The sequence below is a fragment of the Homo sapiens genome, chromosome 2 (genome assembly GCF_000001405.40).
Source record: "Homo sapiens chromosome 2, GRCh38.p14 Primary Assembly".
Classification (NCBI taxonomy): Eukaryota; Metazoa; Chordata; class Mammalia; order Primates; family Hominidae; genus Homo; species Homo sapiens.
The window spans coordinates 6,990,497-7,009,942 of record NC_000002.12 but is presented as its reverse complement, the minus strand read 5'-3'; the positions used below and the strand labels follow the sequence as shown (position 1 = coordinate 7,009,942).

At 46.0% G+C, this 19,446-nt stretch overlaps 1 protein-coding gene across 7 annotated transcripts in view; it reads right to left on the bottom strand.

Annotated features, from left to right (window-relative positions):
* The window catches only part of RNF144A (ring finger protein 144A), a 158,956-nt gene that overhangs the window by 66,425 nt on the left and 73,085 nt on the right, over positions 1-19,446 (bottom strand). For 6 of the 7 annotated variants that reach the window (NM_001349185.2, NM_001349181.2, NM_014746.6 and 3 more), the window contains exon 3: positions 12,882-13,027. The exons of the other annotated variant lie outside the window; for it this stretch is intronic. In NM_001349185.2, coding sequence (NP_001336114.1) covers positions 12,882-13,016 — 135 coding nt within the window. In that variant the 5' untranslated portion in view covers positions 13,017-13,027. The remainder of the gene's footprint in view (positions 1-12,881; positions 13,028-19,446) is intronic. 7 annotated transcript variants of the gene reach the window in all.

Here is a 19,446-nt window from a genome sequence, read left to right as displayed (position 1 = left end):
AAGGACACAAAGATGAGTAGAACACACACAGAGTAGCCAGACACCTGGCAACAGGCATTCCTCTGAGCCCCAGCAGGAGGGCTGGAGCCCTGAGACAGAGGTGTGCTAGCTACACACCACCACCGCAGGGCCATACAAGCCGGGTCCTCAGCACAGGCTGGAGGGCTGTGGTTAAGGAGGCTGGAGGCACGACCTCCTGCACAGCCTTCCCTTCTGAGGACAGCCTCATGGGAATCCCCCTGGCAACTCTCACTGGATGGCCCTGGGAACCTGCAGCAAACTGCCCAGCAAGCTGCACAGTACATGTTCTGGCAAGGATCACTTTCCTCAAGGATGTAGGACTGTGACTTCACTCACAAGCTGAAGAGTTCAAATTATAAAGTTTGTTTTTATAAGGTTCTTGAAAAAAAAAAAGCCCCAGACTTTATGCGTAAAATAAACGCTCCCATCTATATGAGTTCTTGCTTCTGTCGAGCCTTTAGACCCGCCGCCTCCTGTGCTCTCACCACAGCCTTGGGTGGTGTGCAGGAGGCAGGCAGGCTCACAGTCAGCTGCTTCAGGTCATGATCGGCGTGCTGCTCCCCTGCATTACCTTTTTCCTAAGCTATCTAAGACTAAGTCCCTTCAGCTACAGAACAAGATGATCCTGCTTTGCAGGTGGCATCCTTGCTGGAAGGGTGGATTTTGCCCTATATAAAGTAAGGCCCCGGCAAATACTAGTTCTTCTTACCCCTTCAGTATCCTCCACCTACTTAACCTCATTCTACCTATGCACAATTTCCATCATCAGAGTCTTCCAGCCCGCATGCTGTGTATGGGTCTCCTGTCACCCATGTGGAGGGTGAGTGCACACCTCATCTCCTGCAGTGTAGATAAGGCCAGGGGTAATGCCTCTGTGGCCCTATGCGGCCCTCACACGGTGGCTGGTGACTGTAGATGCTCAGTGAAGATGTGGACGGAATGATTTTGTGTTAAACACTCTCTTTCAAGAACTCCAGGTGGGAAGTTAGCAGTAGCAAGCCTGTCACTTATCTGGGATTCTCAAGTCCATTCAGCAGCTAGCACTGAGCACCTGCTTTTGTGGGGTGGCATGCAGGGACCTGGGGTGGAGGCCAGGAGGATGCCCAGAGCCCCGGCTCCCTGGCCATTCAGAGGTCTCAGGAGCAAGGCACGACAGCAGGACTGGATGCGGAGGCTGTTTATTCCATCTCCTTATACGAGGAAGAGACCGCCCCTTCCAGTGTTGAGTTTGTCCAAGACAAACAGCAGTCAGGAGAAAGGGAAGCAGGCTCCACCAGAAGGGGTGTGCTCAGGAACAGCATCTGGCCCGGGGGGACAGGGAAGCATGGGGTGCAGTAGGCCAGGAGGCAGCAGCAGTGCTGAGTGGAGCGGCAGGGCTCACTCCTGCAGGCAGTGGAGAGTGCACCGTGTCGGGAGGGGGCCTGTGTCATCCACGGCTGCTTTATAAGAACCCACTCGGGGCAGGAAGGCCAGTGTGACCGGTCAGGCCTGCGGTTCTTAATCAGGGCACTGTGTCAGCAGAGCTTCAGGGAAGTGTTTGTGAGGGGACAGCTGGAGGGTAAGGGACTGGGCACAACCTGCAGCCGGGCCTGCAGCTACACTGCGGTCTACAAAAGCCACCAGAAGCTGGACGTTCCCGAGGAGGCCTGCACATGTGACCACGCACCCGCTGCCAAAAAGGAGGAAGGCCGCTCTTTGTTCTCACAGTTGCCTGTCCTGAGGTCTGGGCGGCAGCCAAAGAGGCAGTGATAGGCTCTGAAGACTGAGCCCGGGAAGCCAGAGACAGGGTGAGATGGGGGTGACAGCCAGGAAGATCTGGCTCTCTAGGGACGCCACTGGGCTTTTCCTCCCCCTCGCCAACCACAAGGGGAAGACACTGACGTGGAGACTGTGCTTTCCACTATACCACAGGGACTAGTGAACTGTCCAGCTGCCTTCCCCTCACCTCTGGAGGCAGTGCTGGGCTGGTGGAGAGGGAAGACTTCTGAGAGAATGCATGTTCCTTCCTTAGCAAGGAGCTCGCTCCTGCAGCCTCAGCTTCCAAACAAGCTGCAAGAGAAGCGGTGGTGTGGGCAGCGCGGCCCGTTTGTTCTATCTGTTCAATATGAAAACCCGGATTCACAGAGGAGCAAAAATGCATATTTCACCCAGCCACGGCTTCATCACGAAGACCTCCCAGGGGAACGGAACAGAGGCAGTGTGGTAGCAGGGTGTGCACACAGACAGCACCAACATCAGAGGCAGGAACAGGCAGGGACTCGGCCTGTCACTTCAACAAATATATATGCACTCCACACCAAGGCTGTGACATTGGGTGAAAGGCATATTGTGGCTTGGCAAGTGTACTATGTTGAGGGTGGTTAAAAGCTGAGGCAGGATGATCCCTGGGTCAGACTCTTAATGGAGGTGAAATGAGTGTGTCTGTGAAATCGAGTGTGTGCGAATTTAAGACCTGGACAGAAGGGGACACATGCACAGACGCGCTTGAGAGGCTGAGTGTGAGACAATGTGAGTAGGCGTGCAAATACTCAGAATGTCTAACAGCAGAGGGTTAAGTTGTAATCGTGTGACACTTTCTTAATTCAGCCTCTGTTGGGAAGATCTGAATTTTCCAGACAACTGAAGATCATTCTATCCCATCATGAAACCAAAAGTTTTATTTGTTTGCTCTTTACCCATTGTATAAGAAAGGGCTGGGGAGACTGATAGGGATCCTGCTGACATTGGGGCAGGGTTGAGGACGCTACCTGCTGTCGGTCCTAGACAGGCCTCCTGGAAGAAAGCACTGAGGAGGGTTTTGGGGTGAAGAGTCAAGTCCACAAAATGGGGAGAGGAAGTAGATCCCAAGGATCCTTGCCAGGTGGGAAGGGGCAGGGTTCTGAGGGGGTGGGAAGGCACTCTCTGACCTTAACTAGGGCAGGGTGTGCAAAGGCTTCCAGAGTGGCCCTTCATCCCTTGGCTCACTTTCTGAGCAAAGCCACTATCAGGAATCGGCATTTTCTCATGGACCCTTAATAGACATCAAATTTCTAGTGCAGAGACAGCCTACTTCAAGGTATAGGCCCATGCTTGTCACCAGGACCTGTGTTTTGGGAAGGGACACCTACCTCCTCAATGTCAGAGGGTGGAAGAAGGTAAGGAGCCCCACTTAAATAGACTGAGTGTCTATTTCAGAGAATACTGTTGGAATGGCAGGCCATGGACAGGGAAGGGAGGATGGGAGGCTTTGGGGAGGTGGCCATGGAGAGAGGACAGTGGCTGCCAGCCTGGTCCCAGAGGTCCCAGTGAGGGAGGGAGGCAGTGAAGGGGCTCGGGGTTGGGGTACCAGGACCCACCTGTGAAGACCAGCAAGGGTTGGGGTAGCGGGGCCACAACTCTCCTCTGAGGCCAGTACGGGCATCGGAGGCAGGAGTCACAGGGCCCTTACCCTCTCCTGCCCTGACATTGAGGAGGCAGGTGTCCCTTCCCAAAACACAGGTCCTGGTGACACACCTGTCAGTGTCCCAGGAGCATTTTGCAGCACAGGCTGAGATCTTCTGGCCTGCCACTTATCCTGTGTCATCAGGTTACAAACTGTCATTTCTTGTTAACTGTGTAGAGAATTGTTCATCCTCCGCATTTTAGTTTTTCATACTCTTGATTAGGAAAAATACACATCAAGTTAGAAAAAGTTATAACTACAGCATCCCTGGGCTCTGAGTGAAGTCCTCTGCCAAGATTAATGTGCAGGAACTCCGACAACTCCAGACCCTCGTCAAGCTGTTCTGCTTCATGGAGGTTCTGGGCTACATTCTGGGTAACAGAGATTGTTGGGATCCGGGCTTTAGACTGGGACAGAGCATAGCTGTCATGATTTCAGGGGCAACACGAGGAAAAAATGCTTTTCATTAAAGGAATGATGCCACCGAGAAAAACACTTTGAATGTGTGTGTAAATTAGGGTATGTGCAATTCTCTAACAGCACTTCAGTTCATCAATACCACAAGTTAAAAAAAAAAAAAAAAGAGTGGCAGATATGCAAGGAGCAGGTGCACCCAAGTCAGGCTTTCCAGCAAGCACCTCACTCCAGGGCAGGCCCCTTCATGTCTCTGAGCTGCAGCGTCCTCTCATGAGATGGAGAATCCTGCCTATTTCACAGGTTTTTATGAGAAGTGAGATGAAGCAATAAGCTAAAGTTTTAGAAGGACTCTAAGAGCCATGGATAAAAATGAAGACAACTCTGGTTGTAGCCTGTGAGTTGTCAGCAGGGAATCTGAGGGGTACGGGTGCTGGTCTTAAGACAAAGGAGGTCAGGAAGCTGTTCTGTGTTCTGGGAACACGGAACAGACTTGCAGAGGCAGCTCTTTACTTTGCAGGCATCTTGGCAGCTGGAAACTGCCAGCTTGGCAGTTGGAAGCTTCGCTCTTTGCAACAGCCCTGGAACTCATCCTTTGCACCCTAAAGTCATCCCACCCTCCAAGTCAGCCTTCTCCCCATCGAAAAACCAAGACTAAAAGGAGGCCCTCTGCTTAGGAGAGGCAACTCTGATGGCTGGATTCACGCATCTCTGAACCTCTCAGACCCCAGAAGAGAGGCCTGGGAAGCCCACCGATGGTCCTCGGAACCCCAGGAGCCAGCCTGCAGAGCAGACATGATCAGACAGCCTCCTAGTGCCTAAACTCCATACTGAAAGAGCAAGCTTGGCTTCAACCATTCTGCATATACTAGGCTTTCATGTAGACTTTCATTTGAACAGAGGGACCTTCAGCTGAAGAACACTTTGAAAACTATTTCCCACCATTCACTCTTACCAGGGCAGGCCAATATCACAGTGTAAGATATTTAGTTTCTTCTTAATCTGACGACGCTATGATTTCTTAGATACATCTCACAGAAAATGCAGAGATAAAACCATAGCAGCAGCAGTTATAATTGTAAAAATAAGACTAGAAAGAGAACCACCTCACTCTTACCTGCCTTAAGCCACTTGGAACTCAAGTATGTAATGTGTGAGCATCAACATTTTTTTTGGAGGGCCATTATGTGCCAACATTTATGAAAAAGCAGAACATAAGAAAACCCCTTCTCTTCAAAAGCTCCTTTAGAGGAAGTTATAGATCAGGGAACACAACCGCCACACAGTATGTGAAATGCTATTGTAAGTTTAAGCTCCAGATGTTTGAAGAGCTGAGAAACGTCGAAGTCCTGTAGTTTAGGATGGCTCAGTATGGGAAATTGAGAAAGGGGGAGGAGCATCCGCAATGGAGCTAGGAAGCTGGGGAAAAAGGCAGAAAAAGGCAAAAGAAAAGGCAGGGACCAGATGATGTCAGGCATTTTCACTCAGGAAGGCGCTTCCTGTACAGGATAAGTTTCAAATCAAGAATGCAGTCGCAGGTTTGCCCTCTTGGAAGGGACACCCTGAACTTCTTTCAGGAAATTCCTCTGCCCATCTTGGCCATCTGATCTGGTGGACTGGATCCTAGAGTCGGGCCAGACTCTAAGCCAGTTACTAGATCCCATCTTAAGGACCCAGAAGTAGGATCAGATAGGGTGGTGCAGCCAATAGAGCTGGAAGGTTATTTGCTGGGGAAGGAAGTCTCTGTTTTATCTACAGGAGTTACTGAAAGAGACCTTCTCTTTCCCCACTTATGGACAGGGGAGTAAGTGACATCTGCAGCCACCACCATTTTGCTACCACAGTGAGGAGACCCTGGATGGAGATGAAAGCAAAAGAGGCCTCTGCCTGGTTTGAGCTGCATAGAGTTGTGGGGTCCACACAGGCCGCAGGAAGAATCTGAGTGCACACGCAAAGGCAGTGGCAGTGGGACAGCAAGTGACAAAGTCCATGTAACTCACAGTTCAGAGACCAAAGAGTCCCACCTTTCTTTCAGAGATGAGAAAGCAAGAGGAGAGAGGGAAGTTAAAGGACTTGCCCAAGGTTCCCCATTCATTAGTTTGGGAGCTAATCTGAGAACCAGCGACACTCATGGTTTTCCAGTTGATTGCCTGCTCTACCATAACTTGTGGTCCCCACACAATAGCCAAACAATGGCTACTAATGGAAACAAAGCGTGCAGAAAAGTGGGGATCATAAGAAAATGCATGCCCCCTTTAGATCCCAACCTTGATAACCCAAGGAAGGCCCAGAGTGGCCACATGGCAGGTGGCAAAGCATGCTGCCCTCTCGCAGGCTTTGCTCACATACAGCTAGTCTGGAGCCCTCTAGTCCTTGCCAGTTACAGTCATGAGTTGTCCAAGAAGAGAATACATTCTGAACAATGTATCCTTAGAGGATTCTGTCACTGTGCAAACATTATAGAATGTAGTAACATATACCTAGGTGGCATAGCCTACTACACACCTAGGCTAGCTGGCACAGCCTATTGCTCTGGGCTACAAACCTGTACAGGGTGCTGTGCCACTGTACTGAATACCGTAGGCAATTACAAGTATTTTCGCATATTAACGACAATACTAAGTATTTGCACATCTAAATTTCTAAACATAGAAGAGGTTTAAAATATGCTATAAAAGATGTAAAAAATCATATACTTATACAGGGCGCTTACCATGAATAGAGCTCACAGGACTGGGAGCTACTCCGGGTGAGTGAGTGGTGAGTGAATGTGAAGGCCCAGCCATTACTGCTGCTACAGACTTTATAAACACTCTATACTTCAGCTACACTCAATTCAGATAAAAACTCCATTCTTCAATAAGTTAACCTTAGCTTCCTGTAACTTTTTTACTTTGTAAACTTTTTCATTTTCTCAACTTTTTTATTCTCATAACATTTAGCCTAAAATACGAACACAGCTGTACAAATATATATATGTGTATATATACGTACAAATATATACATAGTACAAATACATGTGTGTGTATATATGTATTTAATATCCTTATTCTGTAAGCTTTACTCTATTTGTAAATTTTTTTATTTTTTTTAAACTTTTTTTGTTAAAAACTAAGACACAAACACATTAGCCTAGACCTACACAGGGTCAGGATCATCCATGTCACTGGCTTCCACCTCCACATCTTCTCCCACTAGAAGTTCTTCAGGGGCAGTAACACCATGGAGCTGTCATCTCATATGAGATTAACAACAATGCCTTCTTCTGATGCCTCCTAAAGGACCTGCCTCAGGCTGTTCCACACCTCTCTTATTTTTTCATAAGTAGTAGTACACTCTAAAATAACGATAAAAAAGTACAGAATAGTAAATACTAGGCAGAATGCATTTTTCAGCTCCTGTAATCTTATGGGATCACCATTATATATATGGTCTATCATTAGCAAAACATGGTGATGAGGCGCATGACTGTATGTCTCTGCTGAGCTTTAGACTAGTAGAAACCTTAGCAAAGTCCTCTCAATCTGGACCCATCATGCCCCAACACCCTCTTTCCTTCGCTGGTCCCACCATGGTGGCTCTATCCGTTCATGCTTTCTCAAGGAAATAGTTCAAATGCCCCTGAAGCCTTCCTGAGTACTTCTGGCAGAATTCACTGTTCTCTCTGTGCTGTAACCCACTATCCACACTGCAAATCTAGCCCTTCAAGCCCCAAATGATCGCAGCCCACACCTGCATCTAATGCTGAGCAAGGGATCAGAGGGGGCAGGGATTATGTCTTACCTACGTACCCAGGGCATCTGGCACAAGCCAGGTGTTCAAAAATGTTTGAAAAATTAAATAAATATCCGCTATGTGCACAAAAAAGCACCCACTATGTGCAGTACACATAATGCAAAGGGACATAAAGACGTGCAAAGGAAGACCATGCCCCAAATCAGCTTAATTTCTAGGTGAGGAAATGCCACTTATTTCCTAATATGTTACACAATCAGAAGCTTAGGGTTTACACGTAGCTTTTCTGCAGCATACCAGGTCAATGATCTTGCAAATATATAGGAAAAAAAGGAAATAATATCGTATTACTTATCACCAGGCATGCTACTGCTCAATACTTTATACCCATTGCCCCATTTAATTTGTTCATGAGGTTGATCATATTTTAGAGATGAATAAACTAAGGCTCAGAGAAGTTAGGATGCTTGCTAAAAATCACACAGTTAGCAGGTAGCAGAGGCAGAACAGAGATCTGAACCTATATCCCACAGCAATGTTCAGCCACGCAACTCAACCAACCATCTAGTTCTGACTTTTTATTTAAACCACTAAGAGTCACTTTTATTATAGTTATGCATTGCACGGGAAAGATTCTGTCTATTAAATGTTACGTTTTTGTTTTGTTTTGTTTCTGAGACAGGGTCTTGCTCTGCTGCCCAGGCTGGAGTGCAGTGGTGTAATCATGGCTCACTGCGGCCTCGACCTCCTGGGCTCAAGCAGTCTTCCTGCTTCAGCTTCCTGAGTAGCTGGGGCCACAGGTGTCTGTCACCACGCCCAGCTAATTTTTTTATTTTTTGTAGAGACAAGGTCTCACTATGTTGCCCAGGATTGTCTCAAACTCCTGAGCTCAAACAGTCCTCCCACCTCGGCCTCCCAAAATGCTGGGATTACAGGCAGGAGACACTGTGCCTGGGCAAAAAGTTACACTTTTATTTTTTTATTTATTTTAATTTTATTTTATTTTATTTATTGAGATGGAGTTTCACTTTTGTTTGTTTATTTATTTATTGAGATGGAGTTTCACTTTTGTTGCCCAGGCTGGAGTGCAATGGCGCGATCTCAGCTCACTGCAACCTCCACCTCCCGGGTTCAAGTGATTCTCCTGCCTCAGCCTCCTGAGTAGCTGGGATTACAGGCACACGCCACCACGCCCAGATACTTTTTGTATTTTTAGTAGAGACGGGGTTTCAACATGTTGGCCAGGCTGGTCTCGAACTCCTGACCTCAGGTGATCCACCCGCCTCAGCCTCCCAAAGTGCTAGGATTACAGACATGAGCCACTGTGCCTGGCCAAATGTTACATTTTTAAGTTACAACTTTCTACGGTTATATATCAAAATCCTGTCATCTGGGTTCTAATGGCAAAATTCCTAATTGCCAATAAATAGCTGGTATAAAAATAGATTTAATTCTAACTCAAAGCAAAAAAAAATTATATATATATATATAAACGCAATATATATATAAAATATATGTGTATATGTATGTTTTATTTGGCTTATTCAATCTTGTCATCATTAAAAAATAACTTTCATTAGACTGTTTTTTTTAAGAACTAATAGAAATGTAGACATTTCTACCTTCCCAGATAACTAGGGACCTGTGTCTTGGGATGGGACCACAGCACCTCCCTTTGAGCTTCACATGTTCCCACCTTTGGGATAAGAGTATCATCTCTACTTCTAGCAGCTGTCTGAATGGAAACAACTCTGCCAGCAGTAACACCATATTAACATTCTCAGTGTAACTGTCAAATGCCACAAGTATAAGACAGACCTAAATAGCTCTAATATGTCCCATTTTAAGTTAAAACATCTTCTACATTTTAGATTTCAGCCCATAAGGAATTTCCCAGGTCACTCTACACACAGGTTGCATCTCTGATTGACAAAACGAACACGGGATTGGCCCTCATGGTGGGTAACGGCAGCCTGATTTCAAAATACGTGTCCACAATCCTTTCTCTCTGGCCAGTGCTCCAGCACAGAACTTGTTGGTTAGACTTACATGTCACTATTTTGCACACAAATGTTCAGCTTTACATTTGACCTTCTAAAGTTAGACTTCACACTAATCCAAATGGAACAATTTAAGATATCTGGTAGCTCTCATCATCCCCAAGCTCCCAAGGCCTAGCACAGCACCTGGAACATGTGCACAGGCTCTTGTGACCTCCAGAGAATCACGAAGAATCCACCAGGCACCCTGCAAGCAAGGAAAGCCCCGGAGAACCTGCTTCAGGGGAGTGCCATATTAGCAATTGCTAGGCCAGTCCCTTTCACACTGAAATACATTGAAGGAACACAGGTAAGTGACAGTATGTCTCTGGCTGTGGATGTCTTGGTACATTCCTCCTGCTCTTGGGCACCTGGGATGCCTTGGTAGTGGGGGATGTGGACAAGGATGCGGTGTCCGTCATTAGCAAACCCACTGAACCACACAAATCATTTCTGAGTCCATCTCTTGAGATAAGTGTTCTTCAGAAGACATTTAGGGAGAGCTGCCCAAACTCTGTTTTTATTCCTGCAGTTCTAAACCCAAACTTAGAAGCAAAATGAGAAAGAACTAGGCCTGATGACTGCCTACCACATGACTTCACACATGTTCTTCCACTTGAACTTTGAGGTAAACTATTTTTATCTCCATTATACAGATGGGGTAAATGAGGCCTGCTCAGGGCAGAAATAGAGCTGGCATTTCAGCTCCAGGACACCTGACTCCAAATGCCATGCTTTTCCCTCTAGCCCCGGACTCCTTGAGATAAAGTTACTTCAGCACTCAACTGTAATTTCATAATAACTGTTTTTTTAAGAGTGCCTCCTTTCAGTCTTAGACAATTTTCTTCCTTCCCATGTCTGCACCCCCCAAAAAAGGACAGTTGCAACTCCTCTGGCCACAGACTCAGGGCTCCTCCCCATGGCCTGCCCCCAGCTTGGGGCGACCTGCAGCCCACACAGAGGGGAAGGCGCCACCAAAGCGACCAGGGCACCCCGACACCTCCTCCCTTCTGAATCTTCAACACACAAGTGCTTCCTTCTCTTCACGCTACAGTGAGCTACGGACAGAGGTGGAACTGTTTTCAACATTTTAAATTTTGGTAAATAGTTGTGAAAAAAAATCACCACAGTGTCACTGTTTTTTTGGTGTTTCCAGCAGCCTCTTTCGGAGAACACAGTGCTAGCTTCTTCCTTCACATCCACTGACTTTGGTTAGGCTTTTGGTCTCAATTTGAGTGGCTTATTTGTTTTTACTACAATTCTCTAGAAATAGAAAACTAAGACAACAATAACAAAAATGAAGGCCTCAGCAAAAAAGCCAGGGAGAATGAACTATTTCAAGGGTAAGAACACAAGCTATGGCCTCTGACAGCAGGCAGGCGACTGCAGAGACTGCAAATGCCCCCCGCCCCCACCCCCCACAAGGCATTTTTGGCAGAGGGGGAGCCATTCGATCAGTTGGGAAGATGTCCTTTCAAGTAAGAGGAGGTGATTTTGCATAAGGCTAGTTATTGAATCCATCTTGACGGGTTCTACCATCCTAACTCATCTAGAAATGACAATAAGCCCCATTCACGGTGTTAACAGGATGGAGATCAATCTCCCTCCTATCCTTCTCCATCTCAGAACAATGTCAAAAGCAACTTCCTTTCCTCTAGGTTGGAGCTGTCTTCCTGGTGCTTTAATGAGGCACATTTCTTGGATGGCAACTACAGTATTGAGATCAATACACTTCATTTCAATCTGTGAGATTTTACTGATTAGCTCTTCTGGGTCCTGCACTAAACTAGGTGCTAGGTGGATACAGAATGGGCCAGAAATCCTTCTGCCCTTAAGAAAGGCTGAATCTAGCATAAACAAGAAACAGAAGACACAGATGTAAATGTTTGTAAAGCTCCCTCTCCTTATCTATAAAACAAAGATAAAATATTTGCTGTGCCTACATACCAAGGACATCATGAGGTGCAAATGAAATACAGTCTGAAAGCTATGCAAGAAAGATGAATGCATCAGTGTACAGGGTGGGAGAGACTGTTCGAGTGACAGATTATAATCCAGGCATTCGAAAAACCCACAGGGAAGCCGTCTACACCATCCACATACAACAGCAGTTAAATTCAGAAGACACTTTTTTTTTTTTGAAGACAGTTTTTCATTTTTCTTTTCTGTACTTTTTAAAATGATAAATATTGTGTTTTATTTTTCAGCTTTTTTCAGTTATAATTGATAAAGACTGTCCATTTTATACTTCAAGTGAACAATGTGAAGTTTTGATATTCATTTTTTGTATACGTGTATACATCATAAATCCATCAAGCTAATTAAATATCCATCATCTCACAGAGTTACCAATTTGTGTGTGTGTGGTGAGAATACTTAAGATCTATCCTCACAGAAAATTTCAAGTATACAAAACAGTATGATTAACTATAATTATCATGCTGTACATTAGGTCTCTAGAACTTATTCAACCTGTATAACTGCAACTTCATACCCTTTGACCTACATCTCCCCATTCCCTGCAGACCCCGGGAAACTACCGTCCTACTTCCGGCTTCTATGCACTCATTTTCTTTTTTCATTCCTTGAATGGACAGAAAAAACAAGTAAAATTCAATGAGATTAACTAAAAGTAAACCTCACACACTCATTTATCTTTTCCGATAGATAAAATTTGGGATTTGAGTTTGACCCAAACCCCAGATTCTTGACTTAGAAGTCCCCATATTCATTAAGCCCCGAAGGATCATCTGGCCCCAAAAGAATGTTGGCTACATCATAACAAATATTAAATGTGATTTTAAAATATCTATATTCTAGTTTAGCACTAAGCCAGTGAGAGATGACACTGAGGACTGAATATTCTAGCTACACACAATCACTAGGTTAGCACTGCCATAACCTCAGACATGTGACTATTAAAATACATTTGATATAAGGTGTGGAAGCTTTTGCTGTGTAGCAAGGAGAACATGCGCTATGATAAGTTTCGTGAATTGTTATCACGAGCTTCTAAAATTCTGTTTAACCGATTGCTTTTGCACCACAAGCAACTGTAATGGAAATCTTCCACTCTGGGAGCCTGCCTGACTAACAGAATAATTCTTCCAAGAACTGTGTGAAGGCCTCAACAAGAAGACTCCACTGTCAGGCAAAATGTAGTCCAAAGGTTTGCCTAGTGTCTCTGCAAATGAAAGCAAAAAGCTCATCCTAAAATCACTGTAACATATATTTTATCCAAAAAGACCAACCAGAGTACAGAAGATGCATTGGCACTGGGCTATGGTTGTCATCTGCTCCACTGGGTACTCCCCAAGACAGAGCTTGCAAGACACCAGCGGGTCGAGGGCCAGGTCCCAGGTGGGCCGGTACCTTGTTGTGGTCATCGCAGAACAGTCTGAAACGAGAGAAGCACGGAAGGTCAGACCTCCCCACCCCTGGCATCCACCTGCTCCGTGGCAAGGTTCTCCTGGCTGTAGCTGGGACCCAGGGAGGTGGCCAACTGACTGCTGATGGAGCCTAGAGCATCTGGATGTTCTGAGAATTTTTTGGTTTTTTTTGAGATGGAGTCTCGCTCTGTCGTCCAGGTTGGAGTACAGTGGTGCAATCTAGCTCACTGCAACCTCCGCCTCATGGGTTCAAGCGATTCTCTTGCCTCAGCCTCCTGAGTAGCTAGGACTATAGGCAAGTGCCACCATGCCAGGCTAATTTTTTGTATTTTTAGTAGAGATGGGGTTTCACCATGTTAGCCAGGATGGTCTCGATCTCCTGACCTCATGATCCCCCCACCTCGACCTGCCAAGCTCTGAGAAATTTTAACCAGGGGTGCCTGCCTGGGGTCTGTGAGTGGCTCCCTTACCATTCTGGTAGTAACTTTCATGTCTGCCCTCAAAACGGCAAACAACTCACCCACACACCCATCCTTCCCTCCCTCCCACTGATGTGCATTTTAATAAGACACCTGCCAACCAGGCTCCTAAACCAGGGGGGCAAAACCTTAGCCATCTTGGAAGAGAAGCTTTTGCTAAAATACATATTGCTTGGATTTAACTGTTCTCCAGTGTTAAAGACGTGGCGAATATGAGGACAAGCCTGGGTGGAAGGGTCAGAGCAGAAGGGCTTGGTGGGGGTGGTGAGGCTTGAGTTTTCAGGGCAGCTGGAAAGAAGGTAGACGTCCAACAGAAGGAAGAAATGTCGTAGCATCTTTCACCAGAAGACAAGGCACAAGGACCACATGGAGGGGCAGAACCATTGCTATGCTTTGTGGTCACACAGAACTGCCCAAAACAGTTCCCTAACCACTCTCAGCCTCAGCTGGCTCATCCACATGAGGGGGCTGATAATCCCCTCTCACAGAGGTGTTCTGAGGATGAAGGGAGATCACATAAAGGGTCGGCCGCACACAGCAAGTGCTCAGGAAAATCCCTTCCTCCCTGTGGTGGTTAACACTGAGTGCCAACTTGATTGGATTGAAGGATGCAAAGTATTGTTCCTGGTGTGACTGTGAGGGTACTGCCAAAGGAGATTACCATTTGAGTCAGTGGACTGGGAGAGGCCGACCCACCCTCAGCCAGGGTAGGCGCCATCTAATCAGCTGCCAGCAAAGCCAGAATAAAAAGCAGGCAGAAAAACATGGAAAGACTGGACTGGCTGAATCTTCTGGCCTCTGTCGTTCTCCTGTGCTGGGCTTTCTGCCCTCGAACATCGGACTCCAAGTTCTTCAGCTTTGGGACTCCTGGCCCTTCGACCACAGACTGAGGGCTGTACTGTCAGTTCCCTACCTCTGAGATTTTGGGACTTGGACTGGCTTCCTTGCTCCTCAGCTTGCAGATGGCCTACTGTGGGACCTCACGTCGTGATCGTGTGAGTCAATACTACCTAACAAACTCCCCTTTATATAAACATCTATCTTATTAGTTCTGTCCCTCTAGAGGACCCTAACAAATACACTCCCCTTCCCCTGTGATGTCTCCTTCAGCCACAGCTTAGCAGACAGGGAATCTGACGATGCCGCTGTGTGCCACAGGTAGGTTTGGGACTTACTGTCATTTGAGTAGCTTATTCCCAGGGTCAAGGAGCTGTCCTAACTTAAAAAAAAAAAAAATTACATCATCCCTTTCTCAAGTTTTACGACTGACACCTCACTGGGTGTCACTGCGCTAATATTTAGTTAGGAAAACCCACCTGGTGAATTCCACATGGAAGGAGAAGGGAGAATTCACCCACCTGGTGAATTCCACATGGAGGGAGAATTCTACCAGGAGGGAGAAGACACGTCTGGCCCAGAAGGAAGCACCTGCAGGATCCTGAAAGCTCACCCAGCAGATGGGGCCCAGTGACACATGACGAAGGACATGAGAGGCAGAAATGAGCCAGATTCGAGGAGGAGACCCTGACTACCAGAGCTCAAGCAACTGAGGGGGTGACTGAAGACCGCCCGGGATCTGCACTGGGAATCTGCGCAGGCCTTCAGCGTCTGGGGCGGGAGTGGGCCGCAGCTGGAGGGGCCTCTTCCAAGGGCAGCTGGTGCCTGCAAGTCACTCAGTCTAAAATACATGTGTCTTCCCTGTTACAAAAGGACTCTTTGACACAAATTCCTCTGGACTGGCTAGCACTTTCAAGATAGTTTAAACAAGCATCATGATTTGACCTCAAGCTGGTGGGTCCTGAGGAGTGAGATAATTGGAGGCGTCACACGGCTCTCTGGGGCTGCAGGGGGTACAGACATCAAGGCGTCCTCCCCAGGGTCATATTCATTTGGATCATTTCTCTACACCTTGAATTTTATGCTTATGCTTATGACTGTCATCATTTTCAATCTCTACATGGGGTTTTCTGGGTCCTAGGCTGACAGGCTGTGACTTTTTTCTTTTGATTTCTCTGTATCTTTTTTCTGCTTTAATACTTAATAATTTTTTTAAGTAGCATCTCTTAAAGTTCACTGGACAACATGATAATTATATTTTAAAATGTTAGCTGGCCCTAAATTGGATCACAAACCTTCACCCCAGGCACTGAGGCTTGGGGCAGGCTGCAGAAATCAGTCAGGGCTGGAAAAGTTTCAAGGGGGCAGTAGCTGGCAATTGGCTGCTCTGGCCTGGAGATCTGGGGAGAGCTTGTTTTTTGACAATGTTGAAAAAGCACTGGGTACAAGTTCTGTCGGGCTGTTGGGGAAGTTGCAGGGTAAAGAGTTCACGCTTTGCAGTCAAGCAGACCTGGCTTCAAATTCCTTTTTTTTGGCCACTTGGTTATGCTGATGTTGAAGATATCACATAACTTAAATTTAACTTCTGTGAACTCAATTTTTGTTTTTGTTGTTTTGTTTTTTCCCTCTGTAAAGCCTGTATCACCATCACCACTCATGTAGACTTGGGAAGAGTGAGTGAGAAGTAAGAAGCAATATATTAGAATAATATATCTAATATATAGATACTAGGAGCTTGGTAAGTAGAAGTCATTATGATATGTCAGGTTAACAAGCTTAGACTTTTACCTACATAGACAAAATGGATAAAACAAGCTGTTGGGAAGAGATATCATATGGTGAAATTAGTCATTTCGGAAGTTCAATCCAATGGAGAAAATTTTTAGAAGAATCAAACATCAAAACCTCCTAAAGCCTCCTCCCTTATCGACAGCCATGCACTATGCTCCCAGCCTGGACATCACCCGAGAACGCATTACCCAGAGGCAGAGCTTAACCGCTCCACAGAGGGCCCTGGAATCCCCACCTCCACCCCGCGTGAACAGTTCCCTGCCCCACAAGCCAGTTATAGCCTCTGTGCTGGACCTCTGCCCTGCCCCATCGTGCTTGTTCCCAAGACAATTCTCTCTCCTTCCAGCTTCAGATCTGGGCTCCTTTTCCTGTTTACTGCCTCTCTGTTGTGACCTCCTGGCACAGCGTACAGGGTTCCATCTGTCTGACTTCCTTTCTGCCTGGACCATGATTTCTATCTGGCCCCCAGTGGCTTCCCCTGCCCTGGGCACAGGTCAGCCCATGGCCCTCACCTCCCACTTCCCCCGCCAGCCCCATGAGCTGGATTTGAAGCAGGTCACAGCACCATTTCCAGGAATCACATCACTATTCTTTCCCCAACAGAATACACAGTCTCTGAGTTGTGCTCAAAATCGTGATTCAAATGGTGACAACAGGATATATTTTACAGAAAAAAAAGGGGTCTATATTGTCTAAACCCATCATGGACCTTCCCTACACACAGGATGGCCTTAATATGATTTTGCAAACAGCGAACAGCTGCGAACTTGCAATCAGATTATGCTAAGAGAATCACAATGCACAATAAAAGAAAGCACAGTCTTTGTTTTCCTAATGTGAATGTCAAGTCATATGAAATGGCAAACTGTTTTAGGAACATCTGGTCAATTATAAGTATTATTCAATTTAAGCAATTCAAAATGTGCATAAGGCAATTTACTTATTAAGCATGACTGAGACCGTGCAAAGGATTGTGCCTTGTGATGAAAGAGGTGTGGACACAAGGATAAGAGAGAGCTGGAAGAGAAAATAGTCCACTGTAGAGAGATTCAGCAGATTCCTGCAAGGTCCAAGGTGGTTATTTGACCAAAACTATCCCATCTCTGAGCCCCAGGGCTACGGACCTCTGTAGGCCCCTATTCTTCCCACCTTTACTCCTTCAAAGCAAACCTTGGAAAGGTAGGCAGCTGCCAGCCAGTCATCATCCACCTCTTACTTTCATGCCTTCCTCCAGCAAGTCCCTGCTCTCCTCCAGTTGCCTGGGACACTCTCATGTTTCCTCTGCAGCCTAACTCCCTTTTCCTTCCTTACCCGTTCTCCACACCCTACAAACCCTTCACACCCAGCATCAGTCCTGGTGCTGTGTGATGTCTCCTCTGATTTCTCACGTCTCCCCGCTGTCTCCCGTCTCTGGGTCTCTGCTGTGTGTGGTCCACCAGGCTTCGCAAGCAGCGCTCTCTAAACACCAGCATCAGCATCACCTGAGAACTTGCTGGAATGTAACTGGTTGGGCTCCAACCCCGACTCATTAAAACAGAAACTCTGGGGAGGTGGGTGGGGCGGCACAGTGATCTGTTTCCGTGAGCCTGGCAGGGACTGTGATGCACAATGAAGCCCAAGAACCACTGGTCAGTATCATTCCACTCAACAGCATTTCCAACCAAGTCTATCTCACTCAAGGCTGTGTGGGTCGAAGCCCACCAAGTGCACCGTTCTTCAACAATACCAAAACTCAGCTGTCCTGTCTACAAGGCCCTGGCCTACACTCTCATAGTAACTCCCATTTCTTCTGGGTAAGTGTGGCTTTGGAGGTCTACCATGTCACCAGTCTTTCTGGGTAAGTGTGACCCTCAAAGTCTGACATATGTGTGAATTTACCTCCCCAACTTGACGATACATTATTCAAGGGTAGGAACTATGTTCTAGCCTTCTGGACAGTGGTCACAGCAGCTATTCCATAATTATAACAACAATTATATATACATATATATATGTATTTATGAGAGAGATATATATGTATGTGTGTGTGTATATATATTATATATGTATGTATGAGAGAGAGAGACTGTTAAATGTACATCAGACATTGCGTTCGCCATTTGCATATACTACTTCATTTCTCTGCACAATGACTCTGAGACTTTGATAGTTTGCTATTATTCAAATTTTACCAATGAGTAAACCAAGGTTCGGAGAGGATTAGGGTAACCTGCACAAACATACAGGGCTATTTAGTCACAGTCTGTGTGGCCCTAAGACACAGCCATTTACTGTGCTACACCTCCTCTGTATATCCTCATCAGCTGAATGAGATGGAGCCTTTTGGATTTGTAGAGATATAAGACAAACCAACTTCAGTTTTGCTTCTGAGCTTCCTGGGCTTAACTTGAGCACGTACAGATTGGCAGTGGCTGGGAAAAGCTACATCTTCATAATACGGAGCTGTCAGCAGCAGCAGAGATTGGAGAACTGTGGCTGAGTAGAAAGTTGGCTGTAAAAGAGTTGGCTTATTCAAGTGTATGGCTTCATGACGCTTTAGGAAAGTACTTGGACGCTGTCTCCTCCCAAGCAGATGATGCCCACTCAATGATAAAAACTTAACTATTTCCAGCAATCACACTCCTAGTTTCCCAGCTAATGTGAAGACTTATGTTCACATGAAAACCTGCACATGCATGCTTATAGCAGCTCAGCCGTAACTGCCAAAATTTGGAAACAACCAAGCTGTCTTTCAGTAGGTGAATGGGTAAACTATGGTATATCCAGGCAGTGGAATATTATTCGGCACTGAAAAAATAAGTCATCAAGCCAAGAAAAGACATGGAAGAAATTTAAAAGCATATTACTACCTGCAAGAAGCCAATCTGAAAAGGCTACACACATATGATCCCAACTCTAGGACATTCTGGAAAAGACAAAACTATAAGGACAATAAAAAGATCAGTGGTTGCCAGGGATCATGGAGAGGAAGGGATGATTGGGCAGAGCACAGAGAATATTTAGGGGAGAGCAACTATTCAGCATGAAGCGTAATGGTGATTACATGTCATTATCCACCTGTCAAAGCCCACAGAATGTGCAACACCAAGGGTGAGTGAAACCTAGCGTAAACTATGGACCAAAGTTTACCCCCCTGGCAAATTTGTATGCAGAAGCCCAAACCCCCATTGGGACTATATTTGGAGATTTAGCACATCTAGAAGTCTATATATCTGTGTGTGTGTGTGTGTGTGTGTGTGTGTGTTTGTGTGTGTAGCAATCTCTCTCTCTATATATATACATAGCAATATATATAATATGTTATATCATATATTATATAA